General features: G+C 38.4%; 1 long non-coding RNA gene across 1 annotated transcript in view, besides 2 other annotated features; it reads left to right on the top strand.

Moving 5' to 3' along the window:
• Positions 1-23,269, top strand: part of RBBP8-AS1 (RBBP8 antisense RNA 1) — a 210,274-nt gene that overhangs the window by 143,973 nt on the left and 43,032 nt on the right. The window contains exon 3 of the long non-coding RNA NR_198963.1: positions 2,934-3,042. This is a non-coding gene — a long non-coding RNA (RBBP8 antisense RNA 1). The remainder of the gene's footprint in view (positions 1-2,933; positions 3,043-23,269) is intronic.
• Positions 5,043-5,592: an enhancer, noted in NCBI's record as "H3K27ac-H3K4me1 hESC enhancer chr18:20364163-20364712 (GRCh37/hg19 assembly coordinates)". NCBI's record gives its function as "activates a minimal SCP1, AML or CMV promoter by ChIP-STARR-seq in primed H9 embryonic stem cells {active_cell/tissue: H9 hESC(primed)}" and the evidence as "EXISTENCE:reporter gene assay evidence [ECO:0000049][PMID:30033119]".
• Positions 5,593-6,142: an enhancer, noted in NCBI's record as "H3K27ac-H3K4me1 hESC enhancer chr18:20363613-20364162 (GRCh37/hg19 assembly coordinates)". NCBI's record gives its function as "activates a minimal SCP1, AML or CMV promoter by ChIP-STARR-seq in primed H9 embryonic stem cells {active_cell/tissue: H9 hESC(primed)}" and the evidence as "EXISTENCE:reporter gene assay evidence [ECO:0000049][PMID:30033119]".

Genomic DNA, 23,269 nt, shown 5'->3' with positions numbered 1-23,269 from the left:
GTGATAGCGTCCATCTTAAGAAGACAGAATGGACTCACATTCCACTCTGCCATGCCCTATAGAAAAATCTCCTCAGAAGGCTGTCTATTTATTGTTCCACTCCTCTCCTTCCAGTCTCTTTTGAACTCACTTGAATTGGGCTCTCATTCCAATTATTTTCTTGAAACAGTTCTTGCCGAGGTCACTAGTAACCTTCATATTGCCAAACACAATGGTCAATTCTCAGGTTTGTCTTGCTTCTCTCACCAGCCGCAGTTGATGACTTTCTTGAAACTCCCTGCTTTGTGGTCTTTGGGATACTGCTCTTTTGATTCTCCTAGCTCACCAGCCACTGCTTTTCAGTCATCTTTGTTGATTCTTTCTCCTTTCCTTTACCTCTGAACATTGGAGTTCCCCAGGGCTCTATCCTTAGATCTCTTCTTTATCTGTACGTCAGGTGATATCATGCAGGAATACTGTTTCTGTAGTGATAATTTGCAAATTTATGTCTCCAGCTGAATTTCTTCTCCTAAACTCCAAATTTGCATACAGGCAGTTCTTGCTTCATGCAGTAGTGTGGGCCATAAAAATGACTGTGCAAACTGAGACAGCACCAAGTGTTCTTAATAATCAGTGATAAAAATTATGATTGTTGCAGGACTTAAAATTTTTTCAAAATATTAGGCTCTTACTGTTGATTATAAACATATGAGGTAACGAAGAAATAAAAAGTAATATTTTAAAACTAATATTTACTTAGTTTAGTACACTAATTTAAAACATTAGAAACATTGAGAAAGTGTTTCATTTATTTGTAAAACACTTATCAGACTACTTAGAACAGTGCTTGCCTTCTTGTCATATAACTTTCAATATGGAGTAAGCATCAATCCTACACCTTGGCAAATTATCATATTTCTTTCTAAATTTGGATCAGCTTCCAACATTTTAGCCTTTGTGCTTTAGATGTTGTGACCTATCTCTAAGAGTTCTTTTAATGTGAAATATTTTGCCTGAATCACTTGCTCTGACGTATTCCTCTGGAACATCTTCGTCTTTTTCCTTACAAGCACTTTCCTCCTTTATGTCTATAAAGTTACCTGCACGAAGTGCTTGTGGCTGCATTCTAGTGTCTTAAACAGTGGCAGTGTCAGTATTCCTGGGGCAGCTATTTCTTCTTTAACTCCATTTATATTTGATTTGAATTTCACTTTTAGTGTTGTCATGTTTTTCCTTGCTGCCCTTTCATCTTTGTGGACCAGTTTCTTCTTTTGATAATCCATTTTTGTGGAATGTCATGTGGGCTTATTACTGAGAGACAGGAGACAACACAGTGACACATTTTGCTGTGTGTGAACTGAATAATAGATGCACAAGTGACCAGTCGGTGACCAATCAGTCAGGCAGACTCTGAAAGAAGTGACATGATTGGTCACTAATCATAATATACATCTGTTATATACAGAGTGATTTGTGGATGGGAGAAACAGTGAAATTGTACTTTATGCGATTATTCAGTTACTATAATGTGGCAAATGCAATTTCAATCATATTTTTGGAGGACTGGTGTTATTTAACTAAACCTGGGTGACTGAAGTTTGTGCGTGTTGGAATCTTGCAAGGAGAGGACTGCGTACAGCCAACTGCCCATTTGACATCATCACTTGGGTGTTTAATAAATAGCTCACACTTAACATGCCCTAAGCTGAACTTTTAATTTTTTCAACCTCAAACCTACAGTTCTCTTTGTGTTAAATGGCAATTCACGTCAAAAATCTTAGAGTCATTTTTGATTTCTCATTTTCTGTTGTAGAACACATCCAATTCATCAACTAATCTTGCCCGCTCTGTGTTCAAAATATAATTAGAACCCTACCATTTCTTGCTGCTATCATTCTCATCTGGGCCATCATTATCTTCCACCTACCTTCCTAAGTGGCCTGCTCACTTCTACCCTAGGACACCTATATCTATTCTCCATGGCAATAAGAATGATCCTTTAAAAATGTGAGTTGATTACATGACTCCTCTTCTGAAAATCCTTCTATAGCTTCCTGTTTCAATTAGAGTAAAGCCCTAAGTTTTATAATGGTCTCCAAGGCCCTATATCATCTCACCCAAGGCTACCTCTCTGACATCCCCTCCTTTAACATCCCCCCGCTCACTCTGCTTTCACTGCAGTGGCCTCCTCACTCTTCCCTGAATGGGGTGAGCATTACTTTGCCTCAAGTTCTTGCCAGCTGTTTTTACCACATCTGGTATGTTTCTTCCCCATCTATCTACGTGGCTCATTCTCTCACTTCCTTCATGTCTCTGTACAAATTTATTTTATAACCATGCTATATAAAATTGTGATACCCATCTTTCCACTTCTCATCTGGGAATCCTTTATTCTCTTATACTGTTTTGTTTTTTTTCCACAGCTTCTGTCACCATTCAACATATTACATATTTACTTGTATACTTCCCCTGCGAGATTGTAAGTTTCATGAGGGCAGAGACTTACTCTGTTTTGTTCAGACCTTAATCTCCAGAGCTTAAAATCATACCTGGATCACAGAGGGTCCTCAACGAATATTTGTTAAATGAATGGAAGATGAGTATTGCTGGTTTGTGGCAATTATGAAGAACCAGATTTCCAAATATGGCTTCTGCCAAAGCAGACCCGGTAACTGGAATAAGCAGAGGAATGACTTTAGTGCTTTGCTTGGTTCTGACTGGGGATACAGGGCTGTCATAGAAGTGTAAAATTTATTGAAAACTTTCTTGTAGAAGTTTATTTTTACCTACAGAGCATATACATCTTGTCTGAGAACTTGTTCTAGTGGTCATTTTGCCATCAAATTTACCTTATTAAACAAATCTAAAATGGTTTTTCTTTGTATAAATAAATTAAAGCAACATTTAAAAAATGGTATGTCTATTTTTTGTTTGTTTTCATTTATTTGTTTTAGAATGACATGGGGAAATGGAAGGAGAAAAAAAAAAACAATGCTAAAAAGCCTAGAGATGACCACATATGAAACGACCATGTGTGTAAAGGATTGCTGGAAAATAAATCAGGTAGGAACCAGGAAGTATGGTGTTGAGTTGGATTGACCTTCCTTTGGAGAGTCTACCAGACACCTCTTATATAGACTTTTCTGGGAGGAGTCCCCTTTTTACTCCAGCCATTGCTGGGGTCACCAGTTGCATGCAGGTATAACTTGACAATGCCTCACTTTAGATTCACTGTTTATTTCTCACTTTCTGCCCCAGGGTTTCTCCACCTTCACTAAGTAGGATACCTGTAGAAATGCATGTGGGCATTCTGGAGCATATACAAACCTGCAGATGTGAGGGCAATCCTTTGTTAATGGGGTCTGGGAACTGGAAGATAAATGTTTCTCTTTTTCAACTCCTGAGTGAATAATTCTGAGAGGTATCCTTTCTGGTCCTTTTAGAGGATCCCAGAGGAATCAAGCCTCAGTTGCCCACAGTGGTGAGGAGCTAGATTGGGTTGCATTTCCCTCTTCCTTTTTTTATTCTTCCCAGGCTCTCCCTGCAGCTCCTTGGGATCATACCCCAGAATAAAGCATCTGTACATTGGACTTTGTCATATGTTCTGCTTTTGTGGGGAGCCTAGGCTAAGACAGGAGTCAAACAGAAAACATTTTTTTGAAAACTTTTGTGTTAATTGCAACTTTCTATAAATACACTTACCCTGAGATGCTCTCTCCTTGCTGAAAGACCTCCATTAGTTCTTTATGGGCTGAGTAATAAAGATCCAGATCCTTAAAGCAAGATACTTTACACTGTCACCCTACCTACCTTTTGAACAGCTATAAACCAGTGCTTTAATTTCTCCCAAATATATGATTCACATTTTTGCCGTGTGTGTGTGTGTGTGTTTGTGTGTGTGTGTTTTCTCCCAAGGATTAACTCATATATCCTCCTAGACACCTTCCTCAACCATTTAGCATCTAACATTCCTGCCTCCTATGCACCCTTGCTACACTTTTTGTTTGGATGGCTTATATGGTACGTATGCCATGTTGCCTCAAATTATTTATCTCTTTATTTATATGTTCTGACTAAACTTCATTATAATCATCTGTGGGAATAGATTATATCTTATAATTCAATATCTGCAGTAGTACCTCACACAATGCCCTGAACAATAAATGCCACCCGTGCTGAGACTGACATTGTGGTGACATGATCTAAACCAGTGTTTATCAAAGTGTATTCATGGGGTATTAATAGGCATCATAAGAACAAAAGTGTTTTATGTTCAATTAACTTGGGAAACCCTGGAAGACTTCTCTGAGTCTTTAAATTAACCTTTGTTGCAAATCTCTAAGAGAAAAACACAATATATAGTTTTCCCAAACTTACTAAGCCATAGACATTTTTTTCACGAAGCATTTACTTAGGCTAGTCTCCTGAAAGGCATGTTTAAACTACTTCTAAATATATTGATTGATACACTACATAGAAATTCCTGGGATCTATGGCAGAATGAGGGTATAGCAGGTAGATGTAGCTCACAGACAGAAATAATATATGGTATGAGAAAGGCTTATAATTTGCATGAAGAGATAAAATATTCACATCTTAAAAATCACTACTGAAAATTGATCAGGAATATCTGTTCCAATACCTTAAATATATTTTTGGCATGTACTTACTTAATTACATATTTTTCTTTAAAAAATTTTTAATGTAATACATTATACTAATAGATTTCTTAAAATTGGGAAATGTTGCTTTCTGGAATAAACTTTGCTTAGTTATAGAATATAACTATTTTAACACATTGCTAGATTTAATTTGTTAATATCTGGTTTCAGATTTTAATTGTAAGTATTCTAGTTTTCTTGTTGGAATATGTTTGTCAGGTATTGGCATTAATATTATGATAGAACTGTAAATTGAATTGGGAAGCCTTCTATTGTTGTTCCTTGAATTTAGGGACAACTTATCCACAAACATCCTGAATCTGGTACCATTTTTAATTGTAGAGCTTTAATATATGTATATTATATATAAAAAATATATATATATTTTCAAATTCTGTAGTTGTTGGGTTGTTTAGGTGTTCTACTTGTCATTTAGTTAATTTGGGGAATTTATATTTTGATAGAACATCATTTGTTTCCTTTAGATTTTCAAGTTTGTTGTCATAAGAAAAGTGGTAGCGGGGAGGGGCCAAGATGGCTGACTAGAAGCAGTTGCCATCAGAGGCTCCCACCAAGATAATGAAAATGGCCAACGAATCCTGCACTGGCAACTGTGGTATCCAGGTTCTCTCATTGAATTAGGCAGTTGGCGCAACCCATGGAGAGTGAGGAAAAGCAGGGTGGAGCAATGGCCCTCCTGGGAGTGCAGGGGAAGGGGAGCTCCCACCCCCAGCCAAGGGAGGTGTGAGTGATTGTGCTACCTGCCCCAGGAAACCACACTTTTTCCACAGATCTGTGCAACCCACAGGTCAGGATATCCCCCTTGTGAGTCCGTGCCACCAGGGCCTTGGGTCCCAAGCATAGAGCTGTGAAGATTCTTGGTGGCCACTTGGCTGGAGACTGCCTAAGACTACTGAGTTTCCAGGGGGAGGGTTGACCACCATCACTGCATTCTCCTGCTGCCTAAGATGACTGAGCACCTGCGGGGAGGGGCAGGAGCCATCACTGCAGCTCCAGTCTGCTGTTTTCCCCCTGCCAGTGCTGGGGATACTGGGTGATTTGGACTCAGGAGGAATTCCCCATGGCACAGCACAGCAGCTATGGCAGATTGTGGCCAGACTGCCTCTCTAGGCTGGACCCTGACCCATCGCTCCTCACTGTGCAGGGCCTTCCTGTGGGAATTTCAGCAATTCCAACCAGGGGTTTACAGACAGAACTCTGATCTCCCTGGGACAGAGCCCCAGGGAGGAGGGGCAGTCTCTGCAGATCAGCAAACTTAGTCTTTCCCAGTGCTGACTGTGGAATCCGGGCAGTCCTGATGAATGGGATTCCCCACAGTGCAGTGCATCCCCTCTGCCAAGGGACAGCCAGAGTGCTTTGTTAAGGGGGTTCCTGATCCTGTCCGTCTTGACTGGATGAGACCTCCCCTCCCCCTGCCCACCCACAGGGGTTGCGAGGCACCTTATACAGGAGCTTTTCTGCTGGCATCAGGTCAGTCCCCTTCCGGGACACAGATCCCAGAGGAAGGTGCAGGCAGCCATCTTTGCTGTTTTGCAGCCTCCAGTGGTGATACCTCCAGGTAGGGAGGGACCCAGGCAAATAGGGTCTGGAGTGGACCCCCAGCAAACTGCAGAAGCCTTACGGAAGAAGGGCCTGACTGTTAAAAGAAAAACAAACAAACAGAAAACACAGTAACAACCGCATCAACAAAAAAGTCCCTCCAAAAACCCCATCCAAAGGTCAGCAGCCTCAAAGATTGAAGCTAGATGAACTCATGAAGATGAGAAAGAATCAACAAAAAAAATGCTGAAAACTCAAGAAACCAGAGTGCCTCTTCTCCTCCAAATGATCGCAAGACCTCTCCAACAGGGGCATAGAACTGAGTGGAGGCTGAGATGAATTAATTGACAGAAGTAGGCTTCTGAAGGTGAGTAATAACAAACTTTGCTGAGCTAAAGGCAGATGTTCTAACCCAATGCAAAGAAGCTAAGAGCCATGATAAAACATTACAGGAAATGTTAACCAGAATAACTAGTTTAGAGAGGAACATAAATGACCTGATGGAGCTGAAAAGCACAACACAAAAGAACTTCACAATGCAACCACAAGTATCAATAGCCGAATGCATCAAGTGGAGGAAAGCATTTCAGAGATTGAAGACTATCTTGCTGAAATAAGGAAGGCAGACAAGATTAGAGAAAAAAGGATGAAAAGGAGTGAACAAAACCTCTGAAAACTATGGGATAATGTAAAAAGACTGAACTTATGACTGATTGGGGTACCTGAAAGAGATGGGGAGAATGGAACCAGGTTGGAAAACATACTTCAGGATATCATACAGGAGAACTTTCCCAACCTAGCAAGACAGAACAACATTCAAATTCAGGAAATCCAGAGAACCCCAGTAAGAGACTCCATGAGAAGATAAATCCCAAGACACATAATTATCAGATTTTCCAAGGTTAAAATGAAGGAAAAAACATTAAGGGCAGCCAGAGAGAAAGGCCATGTCACCTACAAAGGGAAGCCCATCAGACTAACAGTTGACCTCTCAGCAGAAACTCTACAAGCCAGAAGAGATTGGGGGCCAATATTCAACATTCTTAAAAGAATTTTCAACCTAGAATTTCATATCCAACCAAACTAAGCTTCATAAGCGAAGGAGAAATAAAATCCTTTTCAGACAAGCAAATGCTGAGGGAATTCTTCACCACTAGGCCTGCCTTGCAAGAGCTTCTGAAGGAAGCACTAAAGATGAAAAGGAAAAATCATTATCAGCCTACACCACAAAAGTCATTACCAGTCTAACACTACAAAAACACATGGAAGTACAAAGACCAATGATACTATGAAGCGACTACATCAACAAGTGTGCAAAATAACTAGTTAGCGTCATGATGACAGGATCAAATTTACACATAACAATATTAACCTTAAATGTAAATGGGCTAAATGCCCCAATTAAAAGACACAGAACAGCAAGCTGTATAAAGAGTCAAGACCTATTGGTGTGCTATATTCAAGAGACCCATCTCATGTGCAAAGACACACATAAGCTTAAAATAAGGGATGCAAGAAAATTTACCAAGAAAATGGAAACACCAAGAAAATGGAAAGCAGAAAAAAGCAGGGGTTGTAATCCTAGTTTCTGACAAGACAGACTTTAAACCAACAAAGATCAAAAAAGACAAGGGCAATACATAATGGTAAAGGGCTCAATTCAACAAGAAGAGCTAACTATCCTAAATATATATGTACCCAATACAGGAGCATCCAGATTTATAAAACAAGTTCTTAGAGACCTACAAAGAGGCTTAGACACCCCCACAATAATGGTGGGAGATTTTAACACCCCATTGTCAATTAGATCATCGAGACAGAAAATTAACAAGGATATTCAGGACTTGACCTCCAGCTCTGGATCAAGTGGACTTCATAGATACCTACAGAGCTCTCCACCCAAAAACAACAAAATATACATTATTCTCAGTGCCACATAGCACTTACTCTAAAATCAATCACATAATTGGAAGTAAAACACTCCTCAGCAAATGCAAAAAACTGAAATTGTAAGAGTCTCTCAGACCACAGCACAATCAAATTAGAACTCAAGATTAAGAAACTCACTAAAAACCATATAACTACATGGAAATTAAACAACCTGCTCCTGAATGACTGCTGGGTAAGTAATGAAATTAGGCATTGTATTTTTAGTAGAGATGAGGTTTCTCCATGTTGGTCAGGCTGTTCTCAAACTCCTGACCTCAGGTGATCTACCTGCCTCGGCCTCCCAAAGTGCTGGGATTACAGGTGTGAGCCACTGTGCCTGGCTCTTTAATTTTTAAATTATATTTTGTAGTTAAAGCATACATATTTTGTACATGGTGTGTTTACTTTTTTACATTTATACCTAAGTATTTCTTTGGAGCAATTTTAAATGGCATTGTGTTTTTAATTTTAGTTTTCATATGTCCATTGTTGTATAAAGAAATGCAGTTGATTTGTGTGTTGATTAAGCTGTAACCTGGCTGTACTTTTGTATTTTTTTTTTAGGGTTATAAAAACTTTTGATCCCAGTTTATTTTGTATATTAAGAAAAGTTTTGTAAATAGGGAGATTTATAGACTTCTTAAATAAATTTTACGTTTTTTCCTTCTCAATTACAACTTTATGAATGTCATTGAAATTAAACAAGCATTTGCTTTGTGTCAGGTAGATTCTGCTCAAATAGTAGAATAATAAGGCAACTTTTGTTTTCCATTTTTTTCTGAGTTTTCTTTGATTTTGATAGAGATGTAGAGAAGCTGGTGCCACCCCCTGTAACAATGTCTGAACTTCATCAGAGAACTTATCAGAATGAATCTTTTTGTAAAAACCCTGGTGGGAAATAAGTAGTCCTCTTTGATTACTGGGCAGCCCATTGCAGTAATACCTAATCGGCTGGCTGAACTTAATTAGCTTTAGGAGGTATTTTGTTTCATTTTGCTTTTATAGATACTTTGGGATTTTCTACACTGTCCTCACATCTGCAAATAGAAACATTTCACCTGTATTTTTATAATTTTTAAACATGCTGAAAATTTGAAAGAATATTACAATGAATACTTGCATATCCACTTATAATACCCACACTTGTTAACACATGTTGAATGTGTGTGGATATGTGCATACACATTGGTTGGACATCATGATGCTTTACTTACAAACACTTCATCACATATATGTTAATTATAAGTATATTCTACTATAGTTACATTCTACTATGACACCTCAGGAAAGTAACAGTTGCCTAATATCAACTCATATCTAATTCACACTGAAATTTCCTCAGTTTTTCTCCATGATGTGTCTTACAGTTATTTCCTTCAAACCATGACTCTATGAAGTTTCATGCATTATATTTGGTTATTATATCTCCTTAGTGTCTTATTTTTGAGCAGTGTCACCTATTTTTTTTCCCTGTGAAATTGACTTTTTGAAGAAACTTGGCCAGTTGTCTTATAGGACATTCTATGTTCTGAATTAGCCTTCTTGTTTCCTTATGGTTATTTTTTTGTTTGTTGGTTTTTTTTTTTTAGACTTGTTCCTTTATCATTTCTATTTCCCATAAACTGGAAATTAGGTTTAAAGGGTTGATAAGATTCAAGTTAAACATATTTGGCAAGATATGTAATAAATGATGCTTTGTGTTTTGTATCACTTCACATCAGTAAGAACATAACATTAGAGTATCCTACTATCAGTGATGCTTAGCTTGATTATGTGGTTAAGGTACTAGATATTGCCCCTGTGTAAAGGTACATCTTTGTCTTTGCAATTACCAAGTAGCCTGTAGGAATGATGCATAAATGTTGTGAAATGCTTTGATGGAAGCCAGTTGGTTCTTTCCAGAGGAAGATGTTCTTTGCGATAGAATCACATCCCTTTTAGGAACCTTTGAAGATGAATCTCCACCTTGGGGTGGAAAGATATGAAGTTTGCAAAAAGATTTCTGACCTTTAAAGCATAGAAAATGTGACTCTGGTGTGCTGAAAGAGAATATTTAATGAATAGTCTACGTGAGACTAGCTCTATAATTTAATGTAACTATATCAATTAAGGAATACTCTAAGGAATACTTTGAGAGAACAGAGAGTGGGAAAATTCTGCACCTCAAGATGTGGTCTCTAGGGCAGAAATCTCTCTAGTTTTGCTCTATGTTGGTAGCAGATAGTCACCTAATGAAGGAGTGTCAAAGACCTAGTGAGACAGGCTTCACTTTGGAGGCTGTCTATTGAGTGAGCATGGTTTTATATAAGGTTTCCTAAAAGAGGATTTGAAGAGTATAATGTTGGCTCGAAGGTGAAAAAAGTTATCCTCTTGTCTATGTCAAGTGTCAGAGTGCCCCATGCTCTAGAGATTAGTTTGGCACTTTTCCCAGCATTGTGACAGCTCTTGAGTTCAGCCTGGTGTGATGCTCTGGAGTGAAGGGGGAGGATGCCCAGGGACTTCCTGCTGCTGATCTACAGCTTTAGGGTGCTGCTGGAGAGTTGAACCAGAGGTGCCAGGACAATCAATTTGTTGCCAAAACCATGCCCATAGCCAGTCTTATGAGTGAGCAGAGTGGATGAATTGAGTAGTTCTGGGTAGTTCCTTGGTTCAAAATACCTCCCTCCTGGAAATGTAGTGTGACAGGAAATGTACCTCCCTGGCTTTGAAGGAGGACAGATCTAGTTTTACTACTTACTACTAATAATATGAGCTTGGGAAAGTTACTGTTATCTTAGTGTTTATTTTGGGCCAGTTGTTGTTTTGTTTAATCTTCACAACAACCATAGGAGAGAGTTGCTATTAATATTCTCTTATTTATTTATTATAGAGATGAGGTCTCACTGTGTTGCCCAGGCTGGAGTGCAGTGGCTATTTACAGTCCCGATAATAGTGCACAACAGCCTCAAACTCATGGGTTCAAGTGGTACTCCCACCTCAGCCTCTGGAATAGCAGGGACTATAGGTGTGTGCCACTGCACTTGGCTTAATATCTCCATCTTACAGAAGAGGACCCTGAAGCACTGAGAAGTATATGTGTGTATATGTGTTCTATGGATCAGGTGTGGGACATGTCAGACAGAGCTGCTGAGGGACCACACCTTAGGGGGTTTCCTGACACAGGTAAGGAAATCTTACAGGAAAGGGATAGAAGTGTCTAGTCAGAGGAGTAGGGGGTGAGAAGGCTGTAAGCAACCAGCCAGAAGAGAGAGATTGATGTCTCAAAGGAACCTCAATCTAATAGCTGTCCTAATGGAGAAGGGGAGTCACCATAGAAATAGCAGAAGTGCCCCCATGAGGAAAAGAGACAGTTTAAAACTCATTTCCGACCCAGAGAGCATTAACACTAGGCAATTCTGGTTCCTTTCAGGTACAACCTTTTCTGCTCCTTACCAAACAGTACCACCTTCCCCTTTGCCCTACTTCAACTCTGGAGAGAGCAGAAACCACAGCAAGAAAGCTGACAGGGAGGAAGAGAAGCAAGGAAAGGCACCCAGAGAAGAAGGTGACCATGTCCCTCTTTCCCATTGCAGGCTTCCAGCCTGTAGCAGCCCATGCTGGGGAGGGGAAGAAGCATTCCCTCTAAATGAAGCTTGGGGTTTTAATTTTTTGACTGTTACATGGGAAAGGATATTTAAATAATTGAAGTAAGTTAGATTTTGGATAAAAGTGAGAGTAAAGTGTTTTGTGTGGAATTTTGTATTTTCGTATCTGATGGGGCTAGACAATAGACATACTCTAGGTTCATCTCAAGGAGAGAAGAGAATTAGCTTCATGGAACAGGTTTGAACAGGCGGTAGGAGAAAATGATAATGTTGTGTCCTTTTTGCATTTCTAGAAGTCTCCCTCTTGTAGGATAATGCAGATTCTTCTGGGAGGAATAATAATTACCTAGTGGGCTTCAAAATACCAGAATATCTGAGGAATCTTTTTTTCAGAATAAAATTTACGTAGAATAGTAAAGATTCAAAGCAAATAAAAACAGGTTCCCTTCTCTCCACCTATCTTCACCATTACCACCCAATTCAACTAAAGCAGCACTGCCTGTATATGTTTCATATTTTTAGCACTGAAGATCAAAATTATTGATGTGATGATGACACCTTAGCAAACCCATTTGGCTTGGACATGTAACTTCTGGGGCTTCTTAAACATGTCTCTAAGGAATTAGGTACAAAAGTACCCACTAGGTTTCTTTGTGCTCGACTTGAGCAACCTTGTTTTAGTGATGGATAGGTTAATCCATGCTTGAGCTCCCCAAGGCAGCCCATTGTTTTCTTGGTCATAGCTGACTATAAGAAAGTTCTTACTTAATTGAGCTAAATAAGTAATGGCCGTTCTTTCTTACCTTCTGGTGGAAGAGACCATGGGCTTTTAAAGTGGAGAGGCCTTTTGCTTTTCCTTTTCTTCTAGTATTCCCCTTGTAGTTTGAGGGGGATAACTTTTCATTCTTCTGGTCGATAGTTCTGCAGTTTTGAGAATGGTCACGGTGTCAGGTATCAGGAACAGCAATGTCATAAGTTCTCAGGGAGAGATAAAAAAGTACTTTCAGGCCGGGCGTGGTGGCTCATGCCTGTAATCCCAGCACTTTGGGAGGCCGAGGTGGGCGGATCACGAGGTCAGGAGATCGAGACCATCCTAGCTAACACGGTGAAACCCCATCTCTACTAAAAAATACAACAAATTAGCCAGGCGTGGTGGCGGGTGCCTGTAGTCCCAGCTACTCGGGAGGCTGAGGCAGAAGAATGGCGTGAACCCGGGAGGTGAAGCTTGCAGTGAGCCAAGATTGCGCCACTGTACTCTAGCCTGGGTGACAGAGTGAGATTCCATCTCAAAAAAAAAAGTACTTACATAGATTCAGAAAAATATTCTCAAACACAATATAAGAAAATGAGGACTCTAGATTTACTGTACTTCCCCTACCCCACCCCGTATCAGATTATATGATATAAAGTGAGGCATGGCATCCTGGAAAGTTTGCTTCTTTTACCGAATGTGTCAAGATGGAAAGCATTAATGATACTTGGTCTGAACACATTTTAGGTAAATAAATTCCTGATTCAGCTTAATCTCTGAAGCTTCTGGCTTCACAGATCTTTGTATTCTTCGCTCTGACTAAAAGGTCCTCCAATTTCTGTTTGGGAATCCTGAGTTGGGTTTGTTCTTGGCACATCATTTTTTTTGAAAGGCCCAAGTATAACATTACTGCACCCTACAGTCCACACAGGGTCTGGGCAATGTTTTTGGAAACACAAGGATGATCTCACCCAGTTGGAAGAAGGGTCACATAATAAAATAATGGTCCTTCTCTCTCTTAGGCCGCTGCACACTGCTGAAATATATTGCTTCTTGACCTTTTGGCTAAGATTCCACGTAGAACAACTAAAATATTAGCTTCCCATCAGCTTTACCACACTTGGGGCTATAATTTCTGACAGCTGTAAGAGATTGTATGCTTCGTGGGGGCCTAGATGAGCTGTCTTTGAAGAGGTCTTTTTGTGATAGCTGAGTTTGTCTAAAAAGCATAGATCATAGACTATCCAGTCCAATAATACACATAATTCTTGAATCATCATTGTAATGTTTGTTTGATTTTCCCCTGGCAGAAGTTTTCCAGCCTGGGCTTGAGTACCACCAGTGAGGGGTAGGGAACTATGAGGTTGCCCATTCCATTTTTGGCTTAATATTTGTCTGAAGAAGAAAGAGTTTATTCTTGCTGAGCTGAAATCTGCCTGCCTGAAATTCACATTCATTAATCCTAGTTCTCCCCTTCTGGATCTATGGACAGTACATTGAATCCCTTTTTTAACTATTTGAGTATAGCTACTCTTTGTTCTCTAAATCTTAGCTTTAGGTTGAATAATCTAGTCCCTTGAACAGGTTCTTTTGCAATTTGGATTCAGTTTCTTTAACCAAGCATATCCCAAGGATACTGTAATATATGCACCCAAAGCTGAATTCAGGACTAAGTTATCCACCTTCTCATTCTCAATGTTACACTTTCTTAGAGCACTATCAAGTGCCATTAGTTTTTTTTTGGAATCATATCACACTGTTAACACACACTGAGCTCATTATTAATTAAGATTCCTAAGTCTTTTACATACTTGCTGTTACTAAACTTGCAAGATTGATTTTTGAACCCATGTTGAGGATCTTGTACTTATTCATTCTAAATTTTATATATTACATTTAGCCCGTTGCCCTAGCCTCTCATAAATCTTTCTGAATCTTGATCCTTGTATCAACAACATTTGCTGTCACTCCTGGCTTTTTATCATCTATAAATTTGATGAGCATATTTTCCATGTTTCTATCTTACTCATTGATGTTAGAAGGACAGAGCTAAAGACAGGGCAAGTGAAAATGGAAATTTCAGTCCAATAATGAAGTAACCTCACTTTTTAATATTAATGAGCTCTAGGTCTAACCAGTAGAACAAGCCTCTGTGCAGTGAACCTGGTGTGTTGGGAGAAATTGATAATGTCTCAGTAACTTGCACTCTGAACAATACAGCTTCTTAATTTAAAAAAGAAGAAAGAAATTAAAGGCCGCATTTAAAGCAAAAGTAACAAAACACCCATTGGTGTATAAAATTTTTAAAAAGATAGCCAATATTTCATTTGAGGCTCTGGTTACTTCCCCAAACTTGAATTGTTCTTTTTTATTTTAAAAACAAAACCAAAACCAAACAAAACAAAAACCTTAGTGCAGAATAATCTTTTCAAAGTTGAGTTTTTAGAAACAATCATCTGGTTCATTTGATTGATAGCTAAAGGTGTGGTTTTGTTTAAACTACCCCATATGTAGGTTTTTAGCCCCCTCCCCTTAAAATTAATCGCCACAATTCTTGACAGTGACAGACACATATATGTGAGAGATGGAAAGGAACTTAATCTCAGTTGGTACACTCTGACGGAATAAAGAGAAGTGGGCTTCAGAAGATAAATGTGAGGGATGAGTTGAATTTTCCAACTAGGAAAGGATCTAGCATGACTCTCCATGTTAAAGATTTCCAGATAAGTTCAAGAGGAAAAAACTGAAGCTAAATTTCATAAGGAAGTAATAATTCACTTCTGATTAATGACTGTCCATAGGCAATGCTGCTAGGACAGACAAATTGCAGCACTGCATTCCAGCTTAAAAAACAAAAACAAAAACAAAACAAACTCCTTTCATCAATTGTATACTTAAACCTAGTTTAAAGTACTCTAATGAATGAGATGCATGCCAGTATGCATGATCAGTAATGGGATCATCGTACTTTATTTTCCTTTTGTTTATGCAGTGTCATAGTTACATTTCTGGCTATGTTTTATGTTGTTATGACCTGGACTGCAAACACATACCTACTCAAACTGTTACAGGTTGTTTGTAAAATATTTTGGAGTGTAGTTTGTTATAACTTTCAACCCTCCTCTGCTACATGTACATAACACACTCACACACCCCCCCCACACACACACGCACACGCACACACCCACACACCCACACACCCACACACACTATCCTCCTCAGTCACCATATATTTATTAGTTATTAGTCTTGTCTAGCATACGTATTGTAATTATAATTCACTTGTAGCTGAATATTGTTTTTGTGAAGCATCATCTATCCTTAAAGTTCTTTTTTTTTTTGACTTTTAAGGCTTGGATGGTCAGTGTGACATATAGATGGGTCAATAATATCCCTATCCCCCTATACCCTCTCTGCTTTAACCACAGTGAACTCCTTACTCTCCAAATGTATTATGATACAACCTTCTCCAAAGCTTTGCCTACGCTCTTCCCTTTAACTGGAATGTCCCCTTTCTCTGGCTCAATAATTCTTAGTCACTCTTGAAAAGGAGGCTGATATACTGTCTTAGTCCATTTGTGTTGCTATAAAATAATATCTGAGGCTGGGTAATTTATGAAGAAAATAGGTTTATTTGGCTCATGGTTCTACAGGCTGTACAAGGAGCATGTTACCAGCATCTGGTTCTGGTGAGGGCTTCATGGCAGAAGACAAAGGGGAGTGGGTGTGTGCAGATCACATGGGGAGAGAGGAAGCAGGAGAGAGAGGAGGGAGTTGCCGGACTTTTTTTTACAACCAGTTCTTGCAGGAACGAATAGAGTGAGAACTTATTCATTACCTCAAGGAAAGCGCCAACCTGATCGTGAGGGATCTGCCCCCATGACACAAGCACCTCCCACTAGGCCCCACCTCCAACACTAGGGATCGAATTTCTTAAAAAAAATTTTTTTTAATTTTTAATTGTTGTGGATACATAGGTATATATATTTATGGGATACATGAGATGTTTTGGTAAGGTATGCAATGTGAAATAATCACATATAGGGTATCCATTCCCTCAAGCACTTATCCTTTGTGTAACAAACAATCTAATTATATTCTTTTAGTTATTTAAAAATGTACGATTAAGTTATTATTGACTATAGTCACCCTGTTATGCTATCAAATAGTAGGTCTTATTCATTCATTCTTTCTTTTTTTTTTTTTGAGACGGGGTTTCGCTCTTGTTGCCCAGGCTGGAGTGCAATGGCACGATTTCGGCTCACTGCAACCTCCGCCTCTCATGTTCAAGCAATTCTCCTGCCTCAGCCTTCCAAGTAGTTGGGATTACAGGCATGTGACACCATGCCCAGATAATTTTTGTTTTTTTAGTAGAGATGGGGTTTCACCATGTTGGCCAGGCTGGTCTCGAACAAAGCTCCAGTGAATATCTTTATACATTTATCTTTGAGCAATTGTGTGTTTCCATAAGACGTCTTCCTTCAATGAGAATTGTCTTCAAAGCTATTTTTATTTTTTTGAGACGGAGTCTTGCTCTGTTGCCCAGGCTGGAGTGCAGTGGCGCGATCTCGGCTCACTGCAATCTCTGCCTCCCAGGTTCACGCCATTCTCCTGCCTCAGCCTCCTGAGTAGCTGGGACTACAGATGCGTGCCACCACACCCAGCTAATTTTTATATTTTTAGTAGAGATGGGGTTTCACCATGTTGGCCAGGCTGGTCTCGAACTCCTGACCTCAGGTGATCCACCTGCCTCAGCCTCCCAAAGTGTTGGGATTACAGGCTTGAGCCACTGCGCCTGGCCTATTCATTCTTTCTATTTTTTTTAAATACCTATTAACCATCCCCACCTCCTCCTCAATCTTCCACCACCCTTCCCAGCCTCTAGTAACCATCTTTCTATTCTCTAGCTTCATGAATTCAATTATTTTGATTTTTAGATCCCACAATTAAGTGAGAGCATGTGATATTTGTCTTTCTGTGCCTAGTTTATTTTCCTTAACATAATGATTTCCAATTCCATCCATTGCTGTTGCAAATGACAGGATCTCATTCTTTTTAGTGGCTGAATAGTGCTCCGTTGTATATATGTACCACATTTTCTTTATCCATTCATCTGTTGATGGACACTTAGGTTGCTTCCAAATCTTAGGAGTGCAGATATCTCTTCTATATTCTGATTTCCTTTCTTTTGGGTATATACACAGCAGTGGGATTGCTGGATCATATGGTAGTTCTATTTTTAGTTTTTTGAGGAAACTCCAAGATGTTATCCATAGTGGTTGTACTAATTTACGTTTCCACCAGCAGTGTAAGAGGGCTCCCTTTTCTTTATATCCTTGCCAGCATTTGTTATTACCTGTCTTTTGTATATAAGCCATCTTAACTGGGGTGAGATGATATCATTGTAGTTTTGATTTGCATTTCTATGATGGTTAATGATGTTGAGCACCTTTTTCATATGCCTGTTTGCCATATGTATGTCTTCTTTTGAGAAATAGGCATTTCTATTCCAGTCTTTTGCCCATTTTGATCAGATTATTATATTTTTTCCTATAGAGTTGTTTCAGCTCCTTATATATTCTAGTTATTAATCCCTTGTCAGATGAGTAGTTTGCAAATATTTTCTCCCATTCTGTGGGTTGTTTCTTCACTTTGTTGATTGTATCATTGCTATACAGAAGCTTTTTAATTTGATATTATTCAATTTGTTCATTTTTGCTTTGGTTTTCTGTGCTTTTGTGGTATTGCTCAAGAATTTTTTGCCCAGACCAATGTCCTAGAGATGTTCTTCAATGTTTTCTTTTAATAATTTCACAGTTCAAAGTCTTAGATTTAAATCTTTAATCCATTTTGATTTGATTTTTGTATATGGTGAGAGATAAGGATCTAGTTTCATTTTTCTGCATATGGATATCTAGTTTCCCCAGAACCATTAATTGACAAGACTGTTTTTTCCCTAGTGTATGTTCTTGGCACCTTTGTCAAAAAATGAATTCACTGTAGATGTGTAGATTTATTTCTGGGTTCTCTATTCTGTTCCATTGGTTCATGTGTCTGTTTTATGCCAGTACCATGCTGTTTTGGTTACTATAGCTCTGTAGTATAATTTGAAGTAATGTGATTCCTCCAGTTTTGTTCTTTTTGTTTAGGATAGCTTTGGCCATTCTGGGACTTTTGTGGTTCCATATAAATTTTAGGATTGTGTTTTCCATTTCTATGAAGAATGTTATTGGTATTTTGATAGGGATTGCCTTGAAACTGTAGATTGTTTTGGGTAGTATGAATATTTTAACAATATTGAGTCTTCCAATCCATGAACATGGAATATCTTTCCATTTTTTGGTGTCCTTTTCAATTTCTTTTTTTTTTATTTTAAAACAAATTTTTTAAATTTAAAGTTGCTTAAATTTAAAAATAGATAACAAAATAGTCACAGAAGAAACTGACAGTTATAAAGAAATTATTTCTGAAAGCACTGTGAACTCAAAAGTTCTACAAGTACAGACTTTCAACCTTTCATGAACAAATCATTCCCATGTTATAATTGCTTAATGCACAGAAAAAGATATACAGTTATCCTATTTACTTTAGAGAGCTAGCAAAATCCCAGTGTCAAAATACAATAACCAGGCTGGGCATGGTGGCTCACACCTGTAATCCCAGCACTTTGGGAGGCCAAGGTAGGTGGATCACCCGAGGTCAGGAATTCAAGACCAGCCTGGCCAACATAGCAAAACCCCATCTCTACCAAAAATACAAAAATTAGCCTGGTGTGGTGTCACATGCCTGTAGTCCCAGCTACTCAGAAGGCTGAGGCAGAGAATCACTTGAACCCCAGGGGTGAAGGTTACAGTGGGCCGAGATTGCACCACTGCATTCCAGCCTGGGTGATAGAGCAAGACTCCATCTCAAAAAAAAAAAAAAAAAAGTATAATAGCCCAAAAGACCAATCTCAGTAATGTAAAAATGTAAATTTCCTAAATAAAAGATTAGTAAATAAAATTCAAATGCATTTCTAGGGAGGATGCATGGTTGGCCAACATTAAGTCTGCAATCACTGTAGTGTAGTTTTTCTTTGATGTCGTTTTTTATTAGACAGCATTATGTCTCTAATATTTCAAAAAGGACTCTCCCTTGTGGTGGTTTCTTTCACTTTTTATCACATTTTATTTCTATCCCAAAGTTACTGAGACTTTAACATGCTTAACACAAGTTTTAACAATACCTTAAGAAATGCCTTAAAGAACAATATCTTAGTGAACAATACCAATGTGAATGTTATTTTTATTGTTATTATTATTATTATTTTTTGAGTCAGAGTCTCGCTCTGTTGCTCAGGCTGGAGTGCAGTGGCGCGATCTCGGCTCACTGCAAGCTCCGCCTCCCGGGTTCACGCCATTCTCCTGCCTCAGTATTATTATTTTTTAATAGAGACAGGGTCTCACTATGTTACCCAGGCTAATCTTGAACTCCTGAGCTCAAATGATCCTCCCACCTCGGCCTGCCAGAGTGCTAGGATCACAGGCATGACCCACCACCCCTGACCTCAATGTGAATGTTAAAATAGTCACCAAAATCGCTGTGTGGTGCTGGTAAAGAATCCTGGGCTTTACAGGATACTGACAAAGAATAACAGTGTATCTGTTCACCATTTCAAGTGGCACTGCTACCTGGCAAACGCATATGCAGTTTACAATGCGCCAGTTTTGAAATTTTGTAATTCTTGCCGATTTTTTTAGGCTATAAGTATGTGCATTACTTCAAATTTTGAGAACAAAGTGAGCCTTTATTAATATTAGATCGACTTTTAAATCCATATAATTTATGACTTATGGGACCAAATTGAACAGGCTCACTTGGAGTTACACACTTTTGAAGAACTCAATTTCTTTCATCGGTGTTTTGTAGTTTCTATTATAGAGATATGTTACTTCTTTGGTTAATTCCTAAGTATTTAATTTTATTGTTGCTATTGTAAATGGGATTGCTTTTAAAATTTCTTATTCACATTGTTCACTGTTGGCATATAGAAATGCTACTGATTTTTGTATGTTGATTTGCATCCTGTAACATTACTGAATTTATCAGTTCTAATAGTTTTTTATGGAGTCTTTAGGTTTTTCTAAATATAAGATTATATCACCTGCAAACAAGGATAATTTGACTTCTTTCATTCCAGTTTGGATGCCCTTTATATCTTTATCTTATCAGATTGCTCTAGCTAGGACTTCTAGTACTATGTTGAATAACAGTGGTGAAAGCGGGCATCCTTGTCATTTTCCAGATCTTAGAGAAAAGGCTTTTTCCCCCATTTAGTATGATATTAGCTGTGGATCTGTCATATGTGGCTTTTATTATGTTAAGGTATATTCCTTCTATGTCCAGTCTTTTGAGGTCTTTTTTATCATGAAGGGATGTTGAATTTTATCAAATGCGTTTTCAGCATCAATTGAAATGATCATATGGTTTTTGTCCTTCATTATGTTGATATGATGTATCGCATTGATTAATCTGTATATGTTGAACCATTCTTGCATCCCAGGGATAAATCCCACTTGGTCATGATAAATGATCTTTCTAATGTATTGTTGAATTCAGTTTGATAGTATTTTGTTGGTGATTTTTGCATCAATATTTATCAGAGATATTGGCCTATAGTTTTCTTTTGTTGATGTGTCTTTGTCTGGTTTTGGTATCAGGGTAATACTGGCCTCATAGAATTAGTTTGTAAATATTTCCTCCTCCTTTATTTTTTGGAATAATTTGAGTAGGACTGGTATTCTTCTTTAATTGTTTATAGAATTTCATCAGTGAAGCCATAGGGTCCAGGCTTTTCTTTATTGGAAGACTTTTTATTGGAGCTTTGATCTCATTGTTTTCAGTCTGTTCAGGTTTTGCATTTCTTTATGGTTCAATCTTGGTAGGTTGTATGTGTCTAGGAATTTGTTCATGTCTTCTAGATTTTCCAATTTATTGGCATATAATTGCTCATTAGTGTCCACTAATGATCCTTTGAATTTCTCGGGATCAAACTTCAAAATGAGGTTTAGCAGGATACACATCTGAACTATTGCATGTGCTTTCAGGAAGTTTTTCCTGATTCTCAGCTCTTATTCATATGCTCTGTGCTTATCATTTACATATCAGATATCACACCACAGTATAAATATTAATGTACTTCTATATCTTTTATTTAACATTGTATACCTATATATCCTCCCATTTATAGTAGGTGCTAGTACTATCTGAGACATAATAGGTACTCAAAAAATGTAATAAATATTTTTTTAAAGCAGGGGTCTTTCTTATTTTCCAGACTAGAATAGGTGCTTATATTGTATAGTCTCATAGAGCACTGAATTTCTCCTTTGTAGCACTTACCATATTTGTAATTATGTACTTGTGTAATTATTTGATATCTACCCCTTCCCTAGTTACAAGCTCTGTGAGGGCAGGAACCATATCTTTTTTTTCCATTGTTCTATTTCTGTTCCTGGGACAGTACCTAGCACATGCTATATACTGAGTAACTATTTGTTAAATCAATGACCAATTGAATGAATGTGTCTCTGTGAGAGAAATAGGTGAAGGAAGTGGTGCCCCAATGTTTTAGTTTAATGGAAGAAGTTGCAAAGGGGAAGTGTTATTAAAAAAAAGGGTAAGACTGTAAGAGAATTTCTTGAAACCCAAACTGGGATATTAAAGATATAGTGGGTAGAAGGCAGCAGGACTGAGGATGGGAGGGAAGGACAAGGGCCTGATAAGAGGAAAGTAGTGTGGAGAGAAGGGTTTATACCCTAACCTACGAAGGTGGGTCACTGTGATGAAGGACACAGGGAAGTGGGAGGCAGAAAGGAGAGAGTGATAAGGTTTACCTACCCTTGGGGTTCCAAATAGGACTTTGGCTTAAAGACTTTTTTCATAGTCTCAGCAGCTCCCCTTCCAAAGGCAGCATGGCACTGTAGAATTTTGACTTTGATATCAGACAAACCTGGTTCCAAAATGCAGCTATAAGCCTTACTAGTTGTCTGAATTTGAGTAAGACATGTGACATTTCTGAGTCTCAGTTTTATCATTTGTTTTATTTCATTAGTTCCATATTTTTATTTATTTATTTTTAAACTTTTAACTTTAGAGGTATATGTGCAGGTTTGTTATGCAGTTAAACTCATGTCATGAGGATATGTTGTACAGATTCTTTTGTTACCCAGGTATTAAGCCTAGTACTCATTAGCTATTTTTCCTGAACCTCTGCTCCTTCCTACCCTCACCCTCCAGTGGGTCCTAGTGTGTGTTGTTCCTCTCTACGTGTCCATGTCTTCTCATCATTTAGCTCTCACTTATAAGTGAGAACATGTGGTATTTTGTTCCTGCATTACTTTGCTAAGGAAAGTGGCCTCCAGCTCCACCCATGTTCCTACAAAGGACATGATCTCATTTGTTTTTATGGCTGTATAGTACTCCATGGTGTATATGTACCACATTTTCTTTATCCAGTCTATAATTGATGGGCATTTGGGTTGATTCCATGTCTTTGTTATTGTGAATAGTGCTGCAGTGAACACATATGTGCATGTGTCTTTAGTATGGAATGATTTATATTGCTTTGGATATATACCCAGTAATGGGATTGCTGGGTCGAATGGTATTTCTGTCTTTAGCTCTTTGAGGAATCACCACACTGTTTTCCACAGTGGTTGAACTAATTTGCACTCTCACCAACAGTGTATAAGTGTAGTTTTATCATTTGTAAGAAGAGGACAATCATATTTATCTTGAAGAGTTCTGCAATCAAATGAGATAAT

The sequence above is a fragment of the Homo sapiens genome, chromosome 18 (genome assembly GCF_000001405.40).
Source record: "Homo sapiens chromosome 18, GRCh38.p14 Primary Assembly".
NCBI classification, from domain to species: Eukaryota; Metazoa; Chordata; class Mammalia; order Primates; family Hominidae; genus Homo; species Homo sapiens.
Note: the sequence above shows the minus strand (reverse complement) of the source record. Positions and strands in the feature narration are given on the sequence as shown.